Source organism: Homo sapiens, chromosome 1, assembly GCF_000001405.40.
Source record: "Homo sapiens chromosome 1, GRCh38.p14 Primary Assembly".
Taxonomy (NCBI): Eukaryota; Metazoa; Chordata; class Mammalia; order Primates; family Hominidae; genus Homo; species Homo sapiens.
Genome location: NC_000001.11, coordinates 230,636,816 through 230,657,543, shown reverse-complemented (window position 1 = coordinate 230,657,543; position 20,728 = coordinate 230,636,816). Strand labels below are relative to the sequence as shown.

The window sequence follows — 20,728 nt, the reverse complement described above, 5'->3', positions numbered from 1 at the left end:
GACACATAATCATCAGATTCACCAAGGCTAAAATGAAGGAAAAAATGTTAAAGGCAGACAGAGAGAAAGGTCAGGTTACCCACAAAGGGAAGCCCATCAGAATAACAGTGGATCTCTCAGCAGAAACCCTACAAGCCAGAAGAGACTGGGGGCCAATATTAAATATTCTTTAAGAAAACAATTTTCAACCCAGAATTTCATATCCAGCCAAACTAAGCTTCATAAGCAAAGGAGAAATAAAGTCCTTTACAGACAGGCAAATGCTGAGAGATTTTGTCACCACCAAGTCTGCCTTACAAGAGCTCCTGAAGGAAGCACTAAACGTAGAAAGGAAAAACTAGTCAGCCACTTCAAAAACATTGCAAATTGTAAAGACCATTGACACTATGAAGAAACTGCATCAACTAACAGGCAAAATGACCACCTAGCATCATAAGGATAGGGTCAAATTCCACATAACAATATTAACCTTAAGTGTAAACAGACTAAATGCCCCAGTTAAAAGACCCAGACTGGCAAATTGGATAGAGTCAAGACCCATCAGTGTGCTGTATTTAGGAGACCCATCTCACGTGCAAAGACACACATAGGCTCAAAATAAAGGGATGGAGGAATATTTACCAAGCAAATGGAAAGCAAAAAGAAGCAGGAGTTGCAATCCTAATCTCTGATAACACAGACTTTAAACCAACAAAGATCAAAACAAAGAAGGGCATTACATAATGGTAAAGGGATCAATGCAACAAGAGCTAATTATCCTAAATATATATGCACCCAATACAGGAGCACCCAGATCCATAAAGCAAGTTCTTAGAGACCTACAAAGAGACTTAGACTCCCACACAATAATAGTGGGAGATTTGAACACCCCACTGTCAATATTAGACAGATCAACAAGACAGAAAATTAACAAGGATATTCAGGACTTGAACTCAGTTCTGGACCAAGAGGACCTAATAGACATCTACAGAACTCTCCACCCCAAATCAACAGAATATACATTCTTCTCAGCACTGCATCGCACTTATTCTAAAATTGGCCACATAATTGGAAGTAAAACATTCCTCAGCAAATGCAAAAGAATGAAAATCATAATAAACAGACTCGCAAACCACAGTGCAATCAAATTAGAACTCAGGATTAAGAAACCGAACAACCTGCTCCTGAATGACTACTGGGTAAATAATGAAATGAAGGCAGAAATAAAGATGTTCTTTGAAACCAATGAGAACGAAGACACAACGTACCAGAATCTCCGGGACACATGTAAAGGAGTGTGTAGAGGGAACTTTATAGCACTAAATGCCCACAAGTGAAAGGAGGAAAGATCTAAAACTGACACCCTAACATCAAAATTAAAAGAACTGGAGAAGCAACAGCAGACAAATTCAAAAGCTAGCAGAAGACGAGAAATAACTAAGATCAGAGCAGAACTGAAGGAGATAGAGACACGAAAAACCCTTCAAAAAAATCAATGAACCAATGAAACCAGGAGCTGGTTTTTTGAAAAGATCAACAAAATAGATAGACCTCTAGCCAGACTAATAAAGAAGAAAAGCAAGAAGAATCAAATAGATGCAATAAAAAATGATAAAGGGATATCACCCCCCATTCCACAGAAATACAGACTACCATCAGAGAACACTATAAACACCTCTAGGCGAATAAACTAGAAAATCTAGAAGAAATGGATAAATTCCTGGACACATACACCCTCCCAAGGCCAAACCTGGAAGAAGTTGAATCCCTGAATAGACCAATAACAAGTTCTGAAATTGAGGCAGCAATTAATAGCCTACCAACCAAAAAAAGTCCAGGACCAGACGGATTCACAGCTGAATTCTACCAGAGGTACAAAGAGGAGCTGGTACCATTCCTTCTGAAACTATTCCAAACAATAGAAAAAGAAGGAATCTTCCCTAATTCATTTTATGAGGCCAGCATCATCCTGATATCAAAACCTGGCAAAGACACAACAAAAAAAGAAAATTTCAGGCCAATATTTCTGATGAACATCAATGCAAAAATCCTCAATAAAATACTGGCAAACCAAATCCAGCAGCACATGAAAAAGCTTATCCACCACAATCAAGTTGGCTTCATCCCTGCAACGCAAGGCTGGTTCAACACACGCAAATCAATAAACGTAATCCATCACATAAACAGAACTAATGATAAAAACCACAAGATTAACTCAATAGATGCAGAAAAGGCCTTTGTCAAAATTCAACACCCCTTCATGCTAAAAACTCTCAATAAACTAGGTACTGATGGAACGTATCTCAAAATAATGAGAGCTATTTATGACAAACCCACAGCCAATATCATACTGAATGGCCAAAAACTGGAAGCATTCCCTTTGAAAACTGGCATAAGACAGGGATGCCCTCTTCTCACCACTTCTATTCAACATAATATTGGATGTTCTGGCCAAGGCAATCAGGCAAGAGAAAGAAATAAAGGGTATTCAAATAGGAAGAGAGGAAGTCAAATTGTCTCTGTTTGCAGATGACATGATTGTATATTTAGAAAACCCTATCATCTCAGCCCAAAATCTCCTTAAGCTGATAAGCAACTTCAGCAAAGTCTCAGGATACAAAATCAATGTGCAAAAATCACAAGCATTCCTATACACCAATAACAGACAAACAGAGAGCCAAATCATGAGTGAACTCCCATTCACAATTGCTACTAAGATAATAAAATAACTAGGAATACAACTTACAAGGGATGTGAAGGACCTCTTCAAGGAGAACTACAAACCGCTGCTCAAGGAAATAAGAGAGGACACAAACAAATGGAAAAACATTCCATGCTCATGGATACGAAGAATCAATATCATGAAAATTGCCATACTGCCCAAAGTAATTTACAGATTCAATGCTATCGCCATCAAGCTACCATTGACTTTTTTCACAGAATTGGAAAAAGTCTTCTCAAAGAAGAGCTCGCATAGCCAAGACAATCCTAAGCAAAAGGAACAAAGCTGGAGGCATCACACTACCTGACTTCAAACTATACTACAAGGCTACAGTAACCAAAACAGTATGGTACTGGTATGAAAACAGATATATATAGACCATTGGAACAGAACAGAGGACTCAGAAATAACACCACACATCTACAACCATCTGATCTTTGACAAACCTGACACAAACAATGGGGAAAAGATTCCCTATTTAATAAATGATGTTGGGAAAGCTGGCTAGCCATATGCAGAAAACTGAAACTGGACCCCTTCCTTACACCTTGTACAAAAATCAACTCAAGATGGATTAAAGACTTAAACGTAAGACCTAAAACCATAAAAATCCTATAAGAAAACCTAGACAATACCATTCAGGACATAGGCAGGGCAGACTTCATGTCTAAAACACCAAAAGCAATGGCAACAAAAGCCAAAATTGACAAACGGAATCTAATTAAACTAAAGAGCTTCTGCACAGCAAAAGAAACTATCATCAGAGTGAACAGGCAACCTACAGAATGGGAGAAAATTTTTGCAATCTGTCCACCTGACAAAGGGCTAATATCCAGAGTCTACAAAGAACTTAAACATACAAGAAAATTTAATCTCCAATACAAGAGTTGAGAGGATACCTTTAAGAAGTGGTCATGAGGGCTTTGTCCTCATGAATGTATTCATGCTTTTACCATGCTAGTGGATTCATTTTTGAGAGAGGGTTATAAAAGTGAGTTCATCCCTCTCTTGCTCTTGTATGCTCCTGCCATCCAACTTCTGCCACATGATGCCCTACACCCCATTTTGACACAGCAAGAAAGCCTCCACCAGATGCGGCCTCTTGATCTTGAACTTCCCAACCTCCAAAACTGTGAGCCACATAAACTTCTACAGTTTATAAATTATCCAGTCCCAAGTATTCTGTTTTAGCAGCACAACATTAGATACCCACTAATATGGAGTGTTTTAGTAGAATCTAAACACTCTGGCTAGTAGAATTGATTCTTTAGTAGAATCAATTCTGGCTAGTAGAATTTGATTCTTTAGTAGAATCAAACTCTGGCTGGGCACAGTGGCTCACGTCTGTAATGCCAGCGCTTTGAGAGGCTGAGGTGGGGGGTTCACTTGAGGTTGGGAGTTCAAGACCAGCCTGGCCAACACGGCGAAACCCCATCTCTACTAAAAATACAAAAATTAGCCCGGCGTGGTGGCATGTGCCTGTACTCCCAGTTACTCGGGAGGCTGAGCCATGAGAATTGCTTGAGGCCTGGAGGCAGAGGTTGCAGTGAGCCAAGATGGTGCCACTGCACTCCTCCCTGGGCAACAGAGCAAGACTCTGTCTCCCCAAAAAAAAAAAAAACAAAAAATGAAAAATAAAGTCAAATTCATTGAAACAAAAAGTAGAGGACTAGGTGCTGGAGAATGGGGATTGGCGTTGGGAGTAATGTCAAATGATATAAACTTTCAGTTATAAGACAAATAAATTCTGGAGTTCTAATGTATAGCATGATGACTATAGTTAATAATATACTGTATTCTTGAAATGTGCTAAGAGAGTAGATCTTAAGCGTTCTCACTATAAAAAGAGGGGGTTAACTATGTGAGGTGATGAATACATTACCTTGATTATGGTAATTATTTCACAATGTATACACATTACCAAATAATCACACTGTATATAATTTTTATTTGTCATACAATTTTTATTTGACAATCATACCTAAATAAAGCTGGGGTGGGCAAGCAGTATGAAATCAAACCTAATTTTAAAATGAGCGAAAGATCTGAAAAAATGCTCAACATGAGTTATTATTAGGGAACTGCAAATTAAAACAAGACACCAATGAAGAGAATGACTAAAATCCAAAACACTGACAATACCAAATGCTTCTGAAGTTATGGAGCAGTAGGAACTCTCATTCATTCCTGGTAAGAATGCAAAATGGAAGTCACTTTGGAAGACAGCTTGGCAGTTTCTTACAAAACTAAACAGAGTCTTGCCAATTGTGCTCCGTATTTAGCCAAATGGGTTGAAAATGTATGTCCATACAAAAACCTGCACGTGAATGTTTATAGCAGCCTTATTCTAACTGCCAAAACTTGGAAGCAAATATGATTTCTTTCAATAGGTAAATAGATGAACAAACTGTGGTATATCCATACATGGAACATTACTCAGCAATAAAAAGAGATGAGCTATATCAAGCCACAAAGACATGGAGGAATCTTAAACGTACATTTCTAAGTGAAAGAAGTCAATCTGAAAAGGCTATATATACTGTATGATTCCTACTGCATACATGATATTCAGGAAATGGCAAAACTATGGAGACTAAAGAGATCCGTAGTTGCCTGGGGTTAGGGATGGGAGGGTGGTGGTGCTGAAGGTGCCGGGAGAGGAGGGGAAGAATGGACAGGCAGAGCACAAGGGATTTGTAAAGCAGTGAAACTGTTCTGTATGATACTGTAATAGTGGATACATGACACTATGTACTTATTAAAACCCATTGAATGTAGAACACAAAGAATGAACTCTAATAAAAACTATGGCACTTCAGTTAAAAATAATGCCTCAATATTGGTTCATCAATTGTAACAAAGGTACCATACTAATTCAAGATGTTACTAGGAGAAACTGTGAAGGGGGAGGCAGGAGGGGATAGATGGGACCTCTGTGCTTTCTGCTCAATTCTTCTATAAAACTAAAACTGCTCCAAAGAAGTCTATTAATTAAAAAATACTAAGGTAGATAAACTTTTTTTTCCTGAATGGAATAGCACCCACTTTTTGAAAATAAGCTGTTTTAGTTAAAAAGCAATATTTTTAAAAGTAGACTTTTTTCTTGTTAAAATATATATGCCTGTGTCTGAAAAGCTGGAAGAAGTCAAGAATTATGGCCTGAAAGCCCAGAAATTAAAAGAAAAATCATTTCTCTTTATACTCAGAGATATTTCTGACTTAAACCCAGGTAAAGTACAAATGCCCCAAACAGCTGGAAGTTGACTAACAAATCAAATACAGGATAATAAGACAGCAAAACAAACCAGCTGTGGAAAACTTAAGAACCATTAACTAGAATAGCAGTGACAATCAATTTTAAAACCAAATAAAGTTTAAGAGTTTAGCTGCTTTAATAACTAGTTGCACCCAAGGATGGCAAACAATGACTAACACAAGAGAACTGGGGAAGTAATCATTTAAAGCTCGCCTGAGACCCAAATATCAATATCCTTAACACTGAGAAAATTTCACAGAACTTTTAACAGAAGAGCAAAATTCTCCAAGCTGCCCCATGCTGAACGTCAAAAAGTAAAATGTTCCCCAAATATAGAAAACTATCAAATCATCGGCTACTGCAGCAGGGACAGAACCCAAATCCCCCAGACATCATCATTCTGTATTCATAATGATGGGAGGTACTACCAAGAGGCAACACCAAGCTGAAGACATGATCTCTGCACTCAAAACATGTTCAGTCTCATTGAGATAAACACCAATACAAAATATTATGTGCTAAACTGTGGACTAAATAAACTATAGGTGGAAAGTCATAAAAGATTAGTATAAGCTCCTGTATGTCTGTGTGTTTCAAACCATTCTTTAAGACAAAGGGCCAACAGATAAGAATAAATGCCCCTGCATATTCGATAAACATTAAATATTCACTACGTGCAGAAAAATGAAACTGGACCCCTATTTCTCACCATATATAAAAATTAAGTCAAGATGGATTAAAAACTTAAATGTGTAAGACCTGAAACTATAAAAATCCTAGAAGAAAACCTAGGAAAAATTCTTCTGGACATTGGCCTAGGCAAAGGATTTATGACTAAGACCTCAAAGCAGATGCAACAAAAACAAAAATAGACAAATGAGACTTCGTTAAACCAAAAAGCTCTGCAGAGCAAAAGAAATAGCAGTGTAAACAGGCAATCTACAGAATGGGAGAAAACATTTGGAAATCATACATGCAACAAAAGACTAATATCCGGAGTCTACAAGGAACTTAAATCAACAAGAAAAAAACAAGTAACCCCATTAAAAAGTGGGCAAAAGACATGAACAGACATTTCTCAAAAGAAGACATACAAGCATCCAACAAACATATGAAAAAATGTCCAACATAACTAATCATCAGAGAAATGCAAATTAAAATTACAATGAGATACCATCTAACACCAATCAGAACAGCTTTTATTAAAAAGTCAAAAAACAACACTGGATGTGAGAAAAAGGAATGCTTATACACTGTTGGTGAGAATGTAAATTAGTACAGGTTCTATGGAAAACAGTATGGCGACTTCTCAAAGAACTAAAAATAGAACTACCATTTGACCTAGTAATCCTAATAGGGAACATCCACCCAAAGGAAATCATTATATAAAAAAAGACACCTGCACTCCTATGTTTATTGAAGCCCTATTCACAATAGCAAAGTCATGGAATCAACGTGTCTATCAACGGAGGATTGGATAAAGAAAATGTGGTGCATTTATACCACAGAATACTATGCAGCCTTAAAAAGATGAAATCATGTCTTTTGCAGCAACATGGATGGAGCTGGAGGTCATTATCCTAAATGAACTAACTCCGAAACAGAAAGTCAAATACCACATCATCTCCCTTCTAAGTGGGACATAAATGATGGGTATATGTGGACATAAAGATGGAATTAATAGACACTGGGGACTTGAAAGGGGAAGTGCTGGAGGAAGATGAGGGCTGAAAAATTATCTATTGGGTACAACATTCACTGTCTGGGTGATGAACACACTAGAAGCACAAACCTCACCATTACACACTATAACCACATAATAAACCTGTACATGTACCTCCTGAATCTAAAATAAAATAAAATAAATAAGTAACAAAAGAAAAACCACAATGAGATACCCAATAAATAAATAAATAATCACTGCTGTAATTACAGGGGGCACAGCAATGAAAAGCAAAGACAACATTCCTGTTCTCAAGGAGCATATATTCTAATGGGGAAATGAGAAAATAAACATGTAAACAAACATTATGAATAGTGGTAAGTGCTACAAAGAAAATAAAATGGAACCCTATGAAAGCGAGTGATGAAAAGGGGATAGAAGACCCTTACAAAGTGGTATCTGAGCTGAGATCTGAATGTCATGAAGGCAACAGCCATGGGAAAGACTGTGGGAAGGGAACCCTTCCTCACAACAGCAAGCTATGGGCAAAAACGTCCCTGGAGCTCTTCCCTCCAGCCCCTGCCCTCAAACCTAGTGCTGTCCCCAGTGCAGGGTGGCTCCATTGACACATGACCCAGTTAGTCTGGAACTCGTGTCTTCCAAGGCTCATTCTAAACCTTTATTTGGTTACCAAATTACTGAAGCCTGAGAAATTAAAAATGTATGCTAAAGTGTTTTCCAGCATCTATGGACAGATGATATTAGAAGTTTTATGAAACAGTAGCACTTAAGTTCTAAATAACTTATTATGTTTAAATGGATTAATCAATTTTATGTCTAAATCCTCTGTTCAATACCGTATCTGTGTTTGATGTATTTACGAGAAGGCAAAGAAAACCTATAACCTGTCACTTCCATTTAACAAATATTTGTGCTCTGTCCCAGCTGATTTCTTCTCTTTCTCTCTCCTTTTTACCCCAGTTTAACACTAATGACAATCTATGTGGTCTTCTAGCTTACTTTCTCAACTTAATTTCTTGAGCTCTTAAGCAGAATGATCTCATTCTGAAGTGCTTACTGCTGTGGGTGTATTAGGGACACCTGAGAAAGCCCAAGCCCCATTTTGTGATTAATTTGGTTAGTTAAATCCTCAAAGAAATTTGATGTTAAATGCTGTATGACTGAACAACAAAGATCTATTTACATGATGCTTATCTAACTTTGAACAAAGAAATATCCCAAGTAATAAAAACTCAAGGGACCATGAGTTCAACATTTTATTCAAGTAATACATTTTATAATATTGCAAGAAGTGACTTGGAAAATTTTTGCATACCAAAGAACTTCTTTTTACCAAAGGCCAACTGAATAAACTGTGTATGTCCAATGGTACTGATCTCATACCATCAAGAAAAGTATTTCACATTAGGAAATCGCTCCACATGTGGGTAATTAGAAAATTCTGTGACAATCAGTCTCAAATATATTCTTTATTTGTGTTGCAAACTGAAGCTAAAGAGAATTCAAGCTTTTCATGAAGACCAAAAATGAAACCATGAACCTGTAAGGTCAGCATTTTAGTTGCTGTGAAATGATGGCACATGCTGTGCCCGGCACTCAGCAACACTGGGCTGTTGCCTTCACACTTACATCCGCTTTCCTGTATCTCATCTACAGGCCAAGAGTCCAGATCACTAGATGGGTTACAATTTGTTTTAAATTAAGTGATGGCCCTCAATCTTGTCCCTACTGATAAAATGCATGTGCTTTAGCATAGGGACTATGTGACATTTTTGGGCTGTTCTCAGTATTCAAAATCACACATTCCAAAGTTTCTACCATCTAGAAAGGAAAGCATGACACGATTATTTTTCCAGTACTGAAGCCTGGGAGTCATGAGATAATGGCCCTGGGTTGCCCCAGTTAGCTGTGTGACTCTGGGGGAAGTCACAACATCTCTGGACCTCAGTTTCTTTATCTGCAAACTGGAAGAATCTACTACAGTTGTCCCTCTGTATCCGAGCATTCCACACCCTCTAATTCAATCAGTCATTAATTGAAAAGAGTCTTTAAAAAAATAATTAAAAAAATAAAAAGTAATGCAAATAAAAATACAGTATAACAACAATTTCACTGTATTAGGTAGTATAAGTAATCTAGAGGTGATTTAAAGTATTCCAGAGGATGTAAGTAGGTTATATGCAAATACTACACCATTTACAAGAGGGTCTTGAGCATTTGCAGATTTTGCTATCTGTGAAGGGGTGGGAGGTGTCCTGGAATCAATCCTCTGCGGATACTGAGGGGCAACTGTAAGTTTCTTTATTCACAGAAACATAAAACGACAAGAGCCAGAAACACTGCAAAGAGTATTGAGATAAGCATCACCCCATGACATAAATGAGGAAACTGAAGCCCGCAGAGGCCAGCGATTTGCACAAAATCACACGAGTGCTCAGCAGAGCTGAAACTGGGGCCCACATCTCCAGGTCACTGCTATTCAATCAGCCAGGCATTATTCTCTTGGACACACCTCCTGTTTCAATATTCCCTATTTACACACTTAGAATACAGATGAGCCTCAGAACTACAGTAAGGGGTCCCCTTATCTGAGGGAGATATATTCCAAGACCCCCAGTCAATGCCTGAAACCACAGATAGTACCCAACTCTATATACGCTATGTTTTTTCAATCAGATAACCAAGATAGCTACTAATCAATAGAAACTGTCCATCAGTGCAATAAGCTGCTCTGGAATACTTCCAAGTGTTCTGGAAAATGCTTTCTCATGTTTTCATGGTGTATACAGGTGGCAGTCTGATTACATACAAGCACCTGTTACATACAAGCACCGAGATGCGTTTTGAAAAGGGCACCCTGCCTGTGATGTAGAACACGGACTAGAAAAAGGCAAGAATGGATGCCAGGGGACTACAGTAAGAAGCCACTAGATTATAATGGCCAGAGATAATGATGAGTCAGAAAGTGGGAAAAGAGGAGATGGAGAGAAGTAGACAAATTTCAGAGATATTTGGGAAGTGAAATCCTAAGGCTTAGTAACAGGTTGGATTTCAAGAATGTGAAGGAGAGAGGTGTTATCAAGGATGACTCCTTGATAACATCTGACTCACAACCAGATGGATGGATTACCTCAGGTCTAGTATTACCTGAGATAGGTAATACCAGAAGAGAGCCAAGTTTGAGAGAAGGTTGGTTTTTTTCATCTTCCCCCAACAAATTCAGTTTTAAATATGCCGAGTTTGAGGTGCCACAGAGATAGCCAAGAAGAGATGTCAAGGCGCTGTGCACATGGGGTTGCAGATAAGAAGGTATTTGGGCCAGAAGTATGAACCTTTCACCTGTCTACACGTGGTCATTGAAGCTGCATGAAGTGGGTCACCTGCGGAAAGTGCACAGCATGTGAAAAGGAACAGACACGTGGCTGAGTCCATAACCCACCAATTAATGGCTAGGAGGAGAATGATTATGCAAAAGAGACAAGGAGACCAGAGAGGCCAAAAGATAACCAGAAAGCACCAGGTTTCAGAAAGCAAATGAAGGGAGCATTTGATCTACTGAGGTCAGGGAAGGAAGCAGAGAAGGTCTGGTGGATCGACTTCCATCTAGTTAACTTTGGTGAGAAGTCTTTAGTGGAATGATGGGGCCAGAAACCAGAGTGAAGTGAATTTAAGAGTGAAGGGAGAGAAAGTAAAGACAACATTTGGCTGTGAGCATTTGGCTGTGAGATGGAAGAGAGCGATGGGCTTTAACTGGAGGTTGGAGGGTCCAGTAGAAGAAACTAAAATAGGAGTGTGTCTGAAAGCCAATGGGAAGAAGTGTGGAGAGGGTGGGAATAACAGGGTCCTGAGAAGGGAGAGGGCACCGGATCCAGGCATGGGAGGCAGACCTCAGGAGGAAGGAAAGACCCCTACACCAGCGTCCCCAACTACCTGTGGGGAACCGGGTGGCCCAGCAGGAGGAGCGCAGCCTGTATTCACAGCCACTCTGTATTGGAGCTCCGCCTCCTGTCAGATCAGTGGCAGCACTAGATTCTCATAGGAGCATGGACCCTACTGTGAACTGCACATGCGAGGGATCTAGGTTAGGCACTCCTTATGAAAACCTAATGCTGAATGATCTGTCAGTGTCTCCCATCACCCCCCAGACAGGACTGTCTAGTTGCAAGAAAACAAGGTCAGAGCTCCCACTGATTCTACATTACGGTGAATTTTATAACTATTTCATTATGTATTACAATGTAATAATTATAGAAATAAAGTGTACAATAAATGTAATGCGCTTGAATCACCCCAAAACCATCCCCTGCACTCCTGGTCCATGGAAAAATTGTCTTCCAAAAGTGTCAAAAAGGTTGGGGACCATTGCCCTACACAACAGGTTAATGATGGGAGTGAGAACAGGTACAAATGCAAGAACGAGGTTGCTGTCAGCAAGATGAAGGAGCTACCGCTTGATGGCCTCTATTTTTTCTGTAAAACACATGAAGTCATACGTGAGACAGAAGGATATGATTGCCACAGCATACCTAGGTTAAGTGGGTTTAAGTTATCCCTGTTAGCCTACCACCTCTCTCCTACTACCAGTATCTTACATCCTAATTCATCTACTGATTGTCAACCCTCTCTAAGAGTGTTTGTACATTTTCTTTTTTTTTTTTTTTTTTTTTTTGACAGGGTCTCTTTCTGTTGCCCAGGCTGAAGTGCAGTGCTGCAATCCTGGCTCACTGCAGCCTTGACCTCCACAGGCTCAGGTAATCCTCCCACCTCAGCCTCCCAAGTAGCTGGGACTACAGGTATGTGCCACCACACCTGGCTAATTTTTCAATATTTTGTAGAAATGCATTCTCACTATGTTGCTCAGTGTGTATATTTTATTAAGCTGACGAAGTCAACAGTATCATGCCATTACCACCTTTGACCCCTCAAGTGATTCGTTCATCTGCCACTCCTGCTTTTTGATCATTTACGTAATATTTTCCACAAACTATCCCCTCCTGTATTTCTCAGATCTCATAAAAACCACTGAAATAACTTTTTAAGTAGCCTCCCGCCACCAGTCAGTTCCAACTGCAACATACATGATCATGTCATTTCCTGCTTTTAACCTGACTGTAACTCCACAATGAATACTAAATCAAGTGCAAATCCGTCAGTACAGTATACAAGGCCCATTGAAACCTGCACACAGCAGGTGATCATGGAATGCCCACTGACTGAACAATTGCTACCACTGCACTAGCATGCCCTCATGATCTATGGCAACCTAAACACAGTTTCCCATCAACACCAGAAGAGACGTAATACCAGAAGAGAGGTAATAACAGAAGAGAGTGGATTTCAAGCAACTTTAAATCTGGATTTTCAAGCAATCTCAAATCTCCCAATGCAAATGTCATATCCCAACTTTCTCACACGTACAAAACCTATCCAATTACAAAATGTGCTGAATGAGACACAAACATAGAAATATAGCCTGGACAAGTGTTCCAACCATCCTTTCTGCCATGGAAGTGCAACTTATATGTAGTTTTATATGTTTAAGGCAACACAAATTGCAAATAACCTTTATCTTCAAGCTCCACCTAAAAAATCAACAAAATTTTACACAGAACAGCTGTTCTATGTATTTTCTTCTATGTATGTTGTCACTTTTATAAGCACTACAAAATGTACCGCATATTCACAGAGCCACGAAATATGCAATTGCTGGCATTCCAGCCACCACCCCAGTTTGCACTCTAAGTTCTATTTTAGAACTTGTATTTCTGTGATTTCACTTCCTGAAGCTGCATTTACCAAAGGCATTCTGTCAACTCAGAGTGGGAAAGGTGGTGGGGCTAGTGAGTCAGAGAAGATGCTGGTGTTGAGCCTTAAGAAGTCAAGAGATGGACAAACTGAGATTATTCTGTACTCTGAGATTCTTGACGTCAACAAGGCCCCTGATCTCCGTGTATGGCCTTTCCTCTTCCAGGGCACCTCTCCCCAGCATGTACCCTTAGCTGTTTCTTTCTACCCTCATTTCAGGGTAGCTCTTAGCCAGTAGGCAAAACGAAGGGTTTCTGGATCAATGAGTTGATTCTGTACATTCTTTGAGACATCCTAATGAAGTTACACCTTTTAGTACAGTGGTCTAATAGGAATATCACTTACAAGAATAAGGTACATTATTCCTGGGTATAGATAAGTCCTACATACGAAAAATGATATGGTCACACTGGAGAAGATACAGATCTACTTTAAAAAAAAACAGCTTTGGAGATGTAATCTGAATGCAAATATTATCAAAAAGAGATAGGCTAATTAATCTAGAAAACATTATGTCACCAAGAAAGGCAGAGTAAGATTTCAACTCACTTGCTCAAAATTGTAGATGTCTACTAACCAGCTAAAACTTTTCGCTTTTTAACACTGAAAGCAGCTACTAAAAGGTGTCAAAAATCCTAGTCCTCAGGAAATTAAATAGAAACATTTTTTGAATGGCTTAAGTGCAGACCCAGAGGGATACACCAAGTAGGAGCAAAGCTCCTCCCAGCTCTCACTCAAAGCCTGGCCATTTTCAAGGCTGTGCCTGATGAACTTTATCATCAGTGAAGTGTTTTCAGTTTATATTTCTTTTCTCTAAGTTTATGACCTACAACTACCAACTTCTTCAAATGCATCACGTAAAAAGTAGAGCAACTTCTTTAAAGAGTAATGGTTTGCTTTGTCGTACTGCAATAGTCGGTAAGAATGTTCTAAGCTTCTAAATATCCCATTCTGGAAGCTTTAGCTGAATGTTAAGCAAAACTTCAGATTAAGTTCTTTTTCTTTCCGACCCGAGTCCCTAGGAAAGTACGTGGGCTTGGAGATTTATTCAACACACACTTAATGAGCTCCAAGGCCCCGGTCCACAAGCTTCTTTCCGACAAGGGGACTGGCAATCTGACTGCACTGCATGGTAACAGGAACGGGTAACAGTGGCTTTGACATGCAGCTCAAAACCACTTGCCCAGAACTTTCAGGCCTTTCCATGTAACACGCACGATTTTACAGAAGTGCTTTCTCCAGGCTGCACCCGCCAAACCTGACGCCAAAAGACTCATTGCGAAGTGCAGCGAGGTCTCGGCGGAGGACCTGACACTGAGCGTGCGCAGGCAGGAGCAGCCGACCGAAGAGACCGCCACAGAGGGCACAGGGCAGAGGCACCCTCATGGCCCGGCTCCGGGGAGCGGACGCCGCGCGCACCTTCATGAACTCGTCCTTGTCGAAGCAGAGCGTGTCCGGCCCCTTGGGCAGGTTCATCCTACTTTTCTCCATCCCGCCGGCCACCGCCTCTCAGTGCCAAGATCCAAGCGAGAAAACGCAGGAGGCTGCGCAGACCGACTCGGCGGCCGCGGCCACCGCCAGTTTCCACGGCACAGGGGGGTCCGCTTCCGCCAACATGGCAGCGCCCGCGCCGCGGCCAATGAACGACGGCACCGCAAGCCGGCCTGCGCCTGGCTCTGGCCAAGAGGGGCGCGGGGGCCGCCGCTGCTGCACGGGTAGGCCGTGCTGCCCTCATGTGGCGGAGGGCGGTACTGCAGCCTCGCGCGGGCTCCTGCAAGGCTGCCCACCTCCCTAGGAGGCGTGGCTGAGCTGCAGGGGTGGGTCAAAAGGGGTGAGCGGGTCTCCCTCCCACCCCCACCGTTTCTACTGGGAAAAATTGTCCTACAACGCTTTTCCAGTGCCTTCTACCCTGAGACTGCTCTGCTTCGTTATGCATGGCCAGAAGTTGGCCCTTTGGTTCTCAGGCCCGTTTTCCAGGTTGGACGTATCACCGTGGTCGCATTCTTCACCTCCCTGTGCGCGGTCACTGCCGCTGGTGGGCGCTAACGCCTCTATGGAGACCCCCGCCCTTAGCCTCTGTCCCCACAGAGAAGTGTAGCGTCTCCTCCACTGGGCTCCGTTACTGGGAACTCATAGGGAAGAAGGTGGTCAGCTAGGCGGCTTTGGGTCCTCTGAGTAGCTCCCTGCTCAACCTCGGTCTCCGTTCCAGGTGGGCAGCCTCTGAGCGCAACTTTGGGTCTTCAAGGTGCTTAAAGGAGTGCCTCGCTATCTGATTAAACACAGCAGACAAATACATGTGCATGCACATTTATTTTTAATTTCAACCAGGAATGGACAAATTTTTGTGTTGTGGCCAGTACTGGTGCAACCAAACCAATTTCTTAGACTGTCTTCCTCCTCCTCCCCCCACCCACCCCAATTTTATTCTGAGACGTTCTTCCTTTATCTCCTCCCTTGCTTTTTTCTCCTCTTGTCCCTTCCGCTAGCTGTAAATACCGTGGTCAAATGATGATGATTCATTTTTCTTCTTTTCTCCTTGACATTCGGATGATTCAAACCACAAACCTCACTTCACACTCTTCATTCTGCAAACCTTTCCTTCCCGCTTCTGTTGAGGAATCTAGGCCTCTCTTCCCAATTTTTCTCCTTGGAGATAAGATTAACGCCATGATGGCCTGTAAAAAGGAATGGGACAGCAGAGGGTAAGACCTCACCATGAGACTTTGTATTTCAAGTATCTCAACTAGAAAACTGGTCACTTAAAAAAAAATGTAGGCGTAGAATCCAAAACGCTCTACTCCCTAGCACTGGACCTAGCAGGCCCTGTTGAAGAGCCTATTTCCTGCCAGTATCTACAGAACAGATGAACAGGATAAGAGCCGGAAGCTAGCTGGAGGATCAAAATATTCTGCCAGAGGAGCGATTGGGAAAAGTACATCCTAAGTCCCTGTTATGTTTGTTTTGCTGGAGGAAATGAAAACCTCATTTTCTGTTTAATTTTTTGTTTTCTCTTGTTATGAAAATTTTCAAGTACACAGAAGTGTGGAGAGCACAAGAACCCCACCCTATGTACTTAGCACCTCGCTTCAACCATCATCAACCTGTCTCCTCTGCCCTTCCCCACCCACCGCATCGAGACCTTCTTTTTTTGTTGTTTTATATATATATATATATACATATATATATATATTTTTTTGAGACGGAGTTTCACTGTTGTTACACATGCTGGAGTGCAATGGCATGATCTCTGCTTACCGCAACCTCCACCTCCCAGGTTCAAGCGATTCTCCTGCCTCAGCCTCCCGAGTAGCTGGGATTACAGGCATGTGCCACCATGCCTGGCTAATTTTGTACTTTTAGTAGAGATGGTGTTTCTCCCTGTTGGTCAGGCTGGTCTCGAACCCCTGACCTCAGATGATCCACCCGCCTCAGCCTCCCAAAGTGCTAGGTTTACAGGCATGAACCACTGAGTCCAGCCCTTTTATTGGAATATGTTTTAAAGCAAATTCTAAACACCATATCATTTCCTATCCCCTAATACCTCAGTTTACGCATCAAAAGAAGAAAAAAAAACCCTGACATTTTGTAACACCTAACAAAACCAGCAATTCCAATAACCAATCTATAGTGGCTCTGAAAGGTGGGCCTTTATCCCAAGGTCACACTGTTAATAAGTGGCAAGTTGCAAACCCAGGCAGCCTGGCTTCAAAGCCCAGTACCAAGGCACGGGAGAGGATGCTGGACAGATGAAACAAAGATGTCTGCAACCCTGCCTTCTCTTTCGAGGCTCTGCAGGAAGTCTAGGTAAGCTGGAACTTGAACTCTTTCTTTCTTCACTGTAATTCCCTTCTGACATTGTTCCTGGGACTTTAGAAATAAAATGAACCTGAATTTGTACAGACTGGGCTTATCTTGAGGATGCTAAAGGGATTAAGTGGCAACAGCGATGGAGGGTCCCTGCTGCCTGCTGTCCTCCCTAGATTCAGAAGGGAACCATCAGGACCCCATGGAGTGGGCTGCGGCTTGGAGACACAGATAGTGGTGCAGACCACCACAGCCAGGCGCAACAAGAAAGACTTCAATGCTAGCATCATAATCTACAGAGGACAAACGCAAGAGAGAAAGCCTACACCTGCCCAGAGGACATGGCCCTGGGTTTCCACTCAGAGCTGATGTTCAACTGGCACACAGTATTTCAGCTGTGCTACTTGGTAAATATTGCAACATCTCAAAGGTTGGTGAATGGCCTCTGTACAGAATCTGCTGCTGCCCTGACCCCTACCTTGGCCTCATGATCCAGCCATTAGAGGGTTACTGCCTGGCTTAGCGGGGCTCCTCTAGCCAGCTTCTGATTGGCTAGTGTCTGTGCTGTTAAATATTTGTCTGCTGTTAAATATTTGAATGTCATCTCTGGTAGTGATACTTATTTCATAGTATTTGCAGGAAGAGAAAATTTAAAAGTGCATATAAAGCACCTGCCTAATCAATGCAAGACATAATATGGAGTCTTTTTACCTGAGTTTTTCCCCCTTTGTTGATCTGTAACTTTCTTCAAAATGAGACTTTAGTTGGCACATTTTTCCATCTTTTTCAGTCTCTCCCCTAATTTCATCCTTTCTTGGCTTTTCTTTATAAAGCATGCACCTGCTACTTCATTTCTAAGTAAATATTAATCCCCCTTTGACTTTGCATCTCTGGAAAATTTTTAGTTCCCTGTTTTCAGTGGCATTGTGAGAGGTCCCATTTTTTTCTTCCCACTCTCCCCTATTTATAGGCTCCACATTTTTGGCAGGTTTGCTATAGAACACTCAAAAATTGCAAGGGGAAATATTATGCTCAGGAAATCATAGGAGCATTTTCTCTAGTAATCATCACCAAGTTCTTATGCTGATCCTCTCCTGAACTGTTGGACTAAAGCAGCTGAATTTTCCAAAAGCAACCAGAGTCGCCCTTGTTCACTACTGAAGGATAGGAGGGTTTCCATTTTTAAACAGATCATGTGCTTGACCTGAAGGCTGAGGATACAGTCAGACGGTCCTGCATTCCTAGAGGAGGGCAGACATGGCGGTAGGGGTGGAGCAGCAGGGGACAGGGGAGACAGTCACCACCTTCAGGACCTGCACTCTGACTTGGAAAGCTCAATGAACCAACTGGGCTATTTCAACATCTTCTATATTTTGTTTATAACTCTGCCTCATTCCAGGGTGGATTTGAGGTGGTTTGGTTTGATTCGTGAACATTTCCCATGCCAATTAGAAGACATTATGTTAGGGGGGGTCCCCAATTCAGCCTCATCTCCCTCATCAACTAGGAAATGTTATAGTAATACCCAAATATACTTTCATCTATGTTTTGTAATAGACCCCACTCATAGAAATGGTAGGGATAATATCTTTTCCTTTTTAGCATTACAGGAGAAATTGTGACTTTGAAATGAACCAAGAAGGTTACAGTTGTCTTCAAAGGAAAAAGAGTCAGTCTAGCATGCCATTCCAGATGTGACTCTATGGTGTATCCTGTGCCTTTCTTGACTTTAAGCTATTTTACAACTCTGTAAGTTGTGCATAACTGATAGCAATGCAAATAATAGTAACATTTGTCTATAAACATGCAAATAAATTTTATCCTGTGAAAGTAAAGTTGACCCATCTTGCCTCAATTTCCTTTGGAAAAAGCCAGTTTTGCATATCTTAGGGAAGTTCATTCGCACATCCTTGGCTGTATATTTGTCTGCTCTTTAGATTGTCTCTTGAAGTGGTGATAACATTTTACTAGTTCTCTTGTTAAGTACTGAGTTCAAATCTTTACAAGTGTTCTTTTTATATTCGTATGAAAGTTATGATTTTAAAAAAATTATCCCTTAGCATTTCAAATCATAAACCGTGATAGGATCCTCATAAATGAAAGTGCAGAGAAATAAAATCAGAGTGAATTTTAGAATTGTCTTCTGTGTGGCCAGCACTATGACAGGGGCTAAGAATGAATGAAGCTCAAGACCCAGCCTTTGACCCTGAAGAGCTCAGAATCTGCTTAGAGAGACACGACCTTCAAGCATGATAAATGTATGCGACTCTTTCACAATTAGTGCTCCTCGGGGTTCTGCTAACCTTTCTCTTCCATGCTACCCTCTCCCACAGTCATCTCAGCTGTGCCCTTAGGGTTTCAGCTCTGGTCCACATACTCACAATTCTCCCGTCACATCTTCACCATGTGCTTCTTTCCCCCCTCCACTAGACCCATGTATAATACTACTTCACTTTGATGTCCCACTGATGCCTCAAACTCAGCATGTTCGAAATTGATTCATTATCTTTCCTGAAAGGCTTTCTTATCCTCCTTCATTTTGTTTCTTGATAAATGGCTCCACCAAATGCCAGCTGCATAAGCCAAACACCTAGAAATCAATCACAGAACTGAGCCAACCAGTTGCACTTTAAAATACTCAACCACAAACCTCAAATGGGTGCAGAGGCAGAAAAGGGGTGATCCCCTTCCTCCCCATCATAAAGGGTCAAGGCTGACACTCCTATAACAAAAGACAGGTTAACAGAGAAAAGCATCAGAAATTTACTAAGTGCACACATGTGCACTGGAATCATACAAAACATGAAAACTCCAAAACAGCCAGCTGGTTGATGCTTAAGTATGCTCTTTATTGGGAAGTGGGGAGATGGGGGTGTAGGACTGAAATAATTTACAGGGGAAATGAATGGACCCAGGAGACAGAAAGTAACCTGAAAATGATTCTCTTTGGAATTTAGATGAGCCCTAGAGGCAGACAGTGTCTTGTGGAAAAGTCCATCCAGGTGTGGTTGTACTCCTCAGTCTTCCTTCCTGTGATACAGAATGAGATTTCAGGGAATGGGTGGAGGGCAATTGTGTTCCTCTTTGGGGGTCTGGTTTCCAGGTATATTAGGGAACCTCAGAGAAGAACTTCATCCTGTGCTTTAGGAGAGACAAAGAACTGGAGCCAGAGAAGAGGAGGGGGTGGTAGAGACCTTGAGGCTGCTTCTCCAGTTCAACGTGTCAAAGTGCCATATGTCAGGGCACCAGTTTCTGAGCCCCAGCAGGATACTCAGCAGTGACTGCGAACTCCCTTGTATCTCCAGCAGGCTTGCTTTCTCTCTAATGAAAATGACTAGTTCATGCCTTCAAGACTTGCCGCAACTTTCTCCCCTACTTCTTCCCCACAACGCCCCCTCTGTCTTAGCTCATGCCCTTCTGTCACCTTTTGTTGGGGAAACAGAAGCAAATTGCACAACAATTCTCACATGTTCTTACC

The 20,728-nt window shown here is 41.4% G+C and overlaps 1 protein-coding gene and 1 long non-coding RNA gene across 3 annotated transcripts in view, besides 3 other annotated features; one reads left to right on the top strand and one right to left on the bottom strand.

Moving 5' to 3' along the window:
• COG2 (component of oligomeric golgi complex 2) overlaps positions 1-15,063 on the bottom strand; it is a 51,502-nt gene extending 36,439 nt beyond the window's left edge. For both annotated transcript variants that reach the window (NM_007357.3, NM_001145036.2), the window contains exon 1: positions 14,866-15,063. In NM_007357.3, coding sequence (NP_031383.1) covers positions 14,866-14,937 — 72 coding nt within the window. In that variant the 5' untranslated portion in view covers positions 14,938-15,063. The remainder of the gene's footprint in view (positions 1-14,865) is intronic.
• Positions 13,397-13,516: a silencer, noted in NCBI's record as "silent region_1942". NCBI's record gives its function as "represses an Ori minimal core promoter by ATAC-STARR-seq in GM12878 lymphoblastoid cells {active_cell/tissue: GM12878}" and the evidence as "EXISTENCE:reporter gene assay evidence [ECO:0000049][PMID:35858748]".
• Positions 14,820-15,039: an enhancer, noted in NCBI's record as "active region_2719". NCBI's record gives its function as "activates an Ori minimal core promoter by ATAC-STARR-seq in GM12878 lymphoblastoid cells {active_cell/tissue: GM12878}" and the evidence as "EXISTENCE:reporter gene assay evidence [ECO:0000049][PMID:35858748]".
• Positions 15,130-15,269: a silencer, noted in NCBI's record as "silent region_1941". NCBI's record gives its function as "represses an Ori minimal core promoter by ATAC-STARR-seq in GM12878 lymphoblastoid cells {active_cell/tissue: GM12878}" and the evidence as "EXISTENCE:reporter gene assay evidence [ECO:0000049][PMID:35858748]".
• Positions 16,847-19,085, top strand: LOC124904545 (uncharacterized). The gene is made up of 2 exons (XR_007066935.1): positions 16,847-17,250; positions 17,427-19,085. It is a non-coding gene; the product is annotated as an uncharacterized LOC124904545 (long non-coding RNA).
• The last annotated feature ends 1,643 nt before the right edge of the window (positions 19,086-20,728 follow it).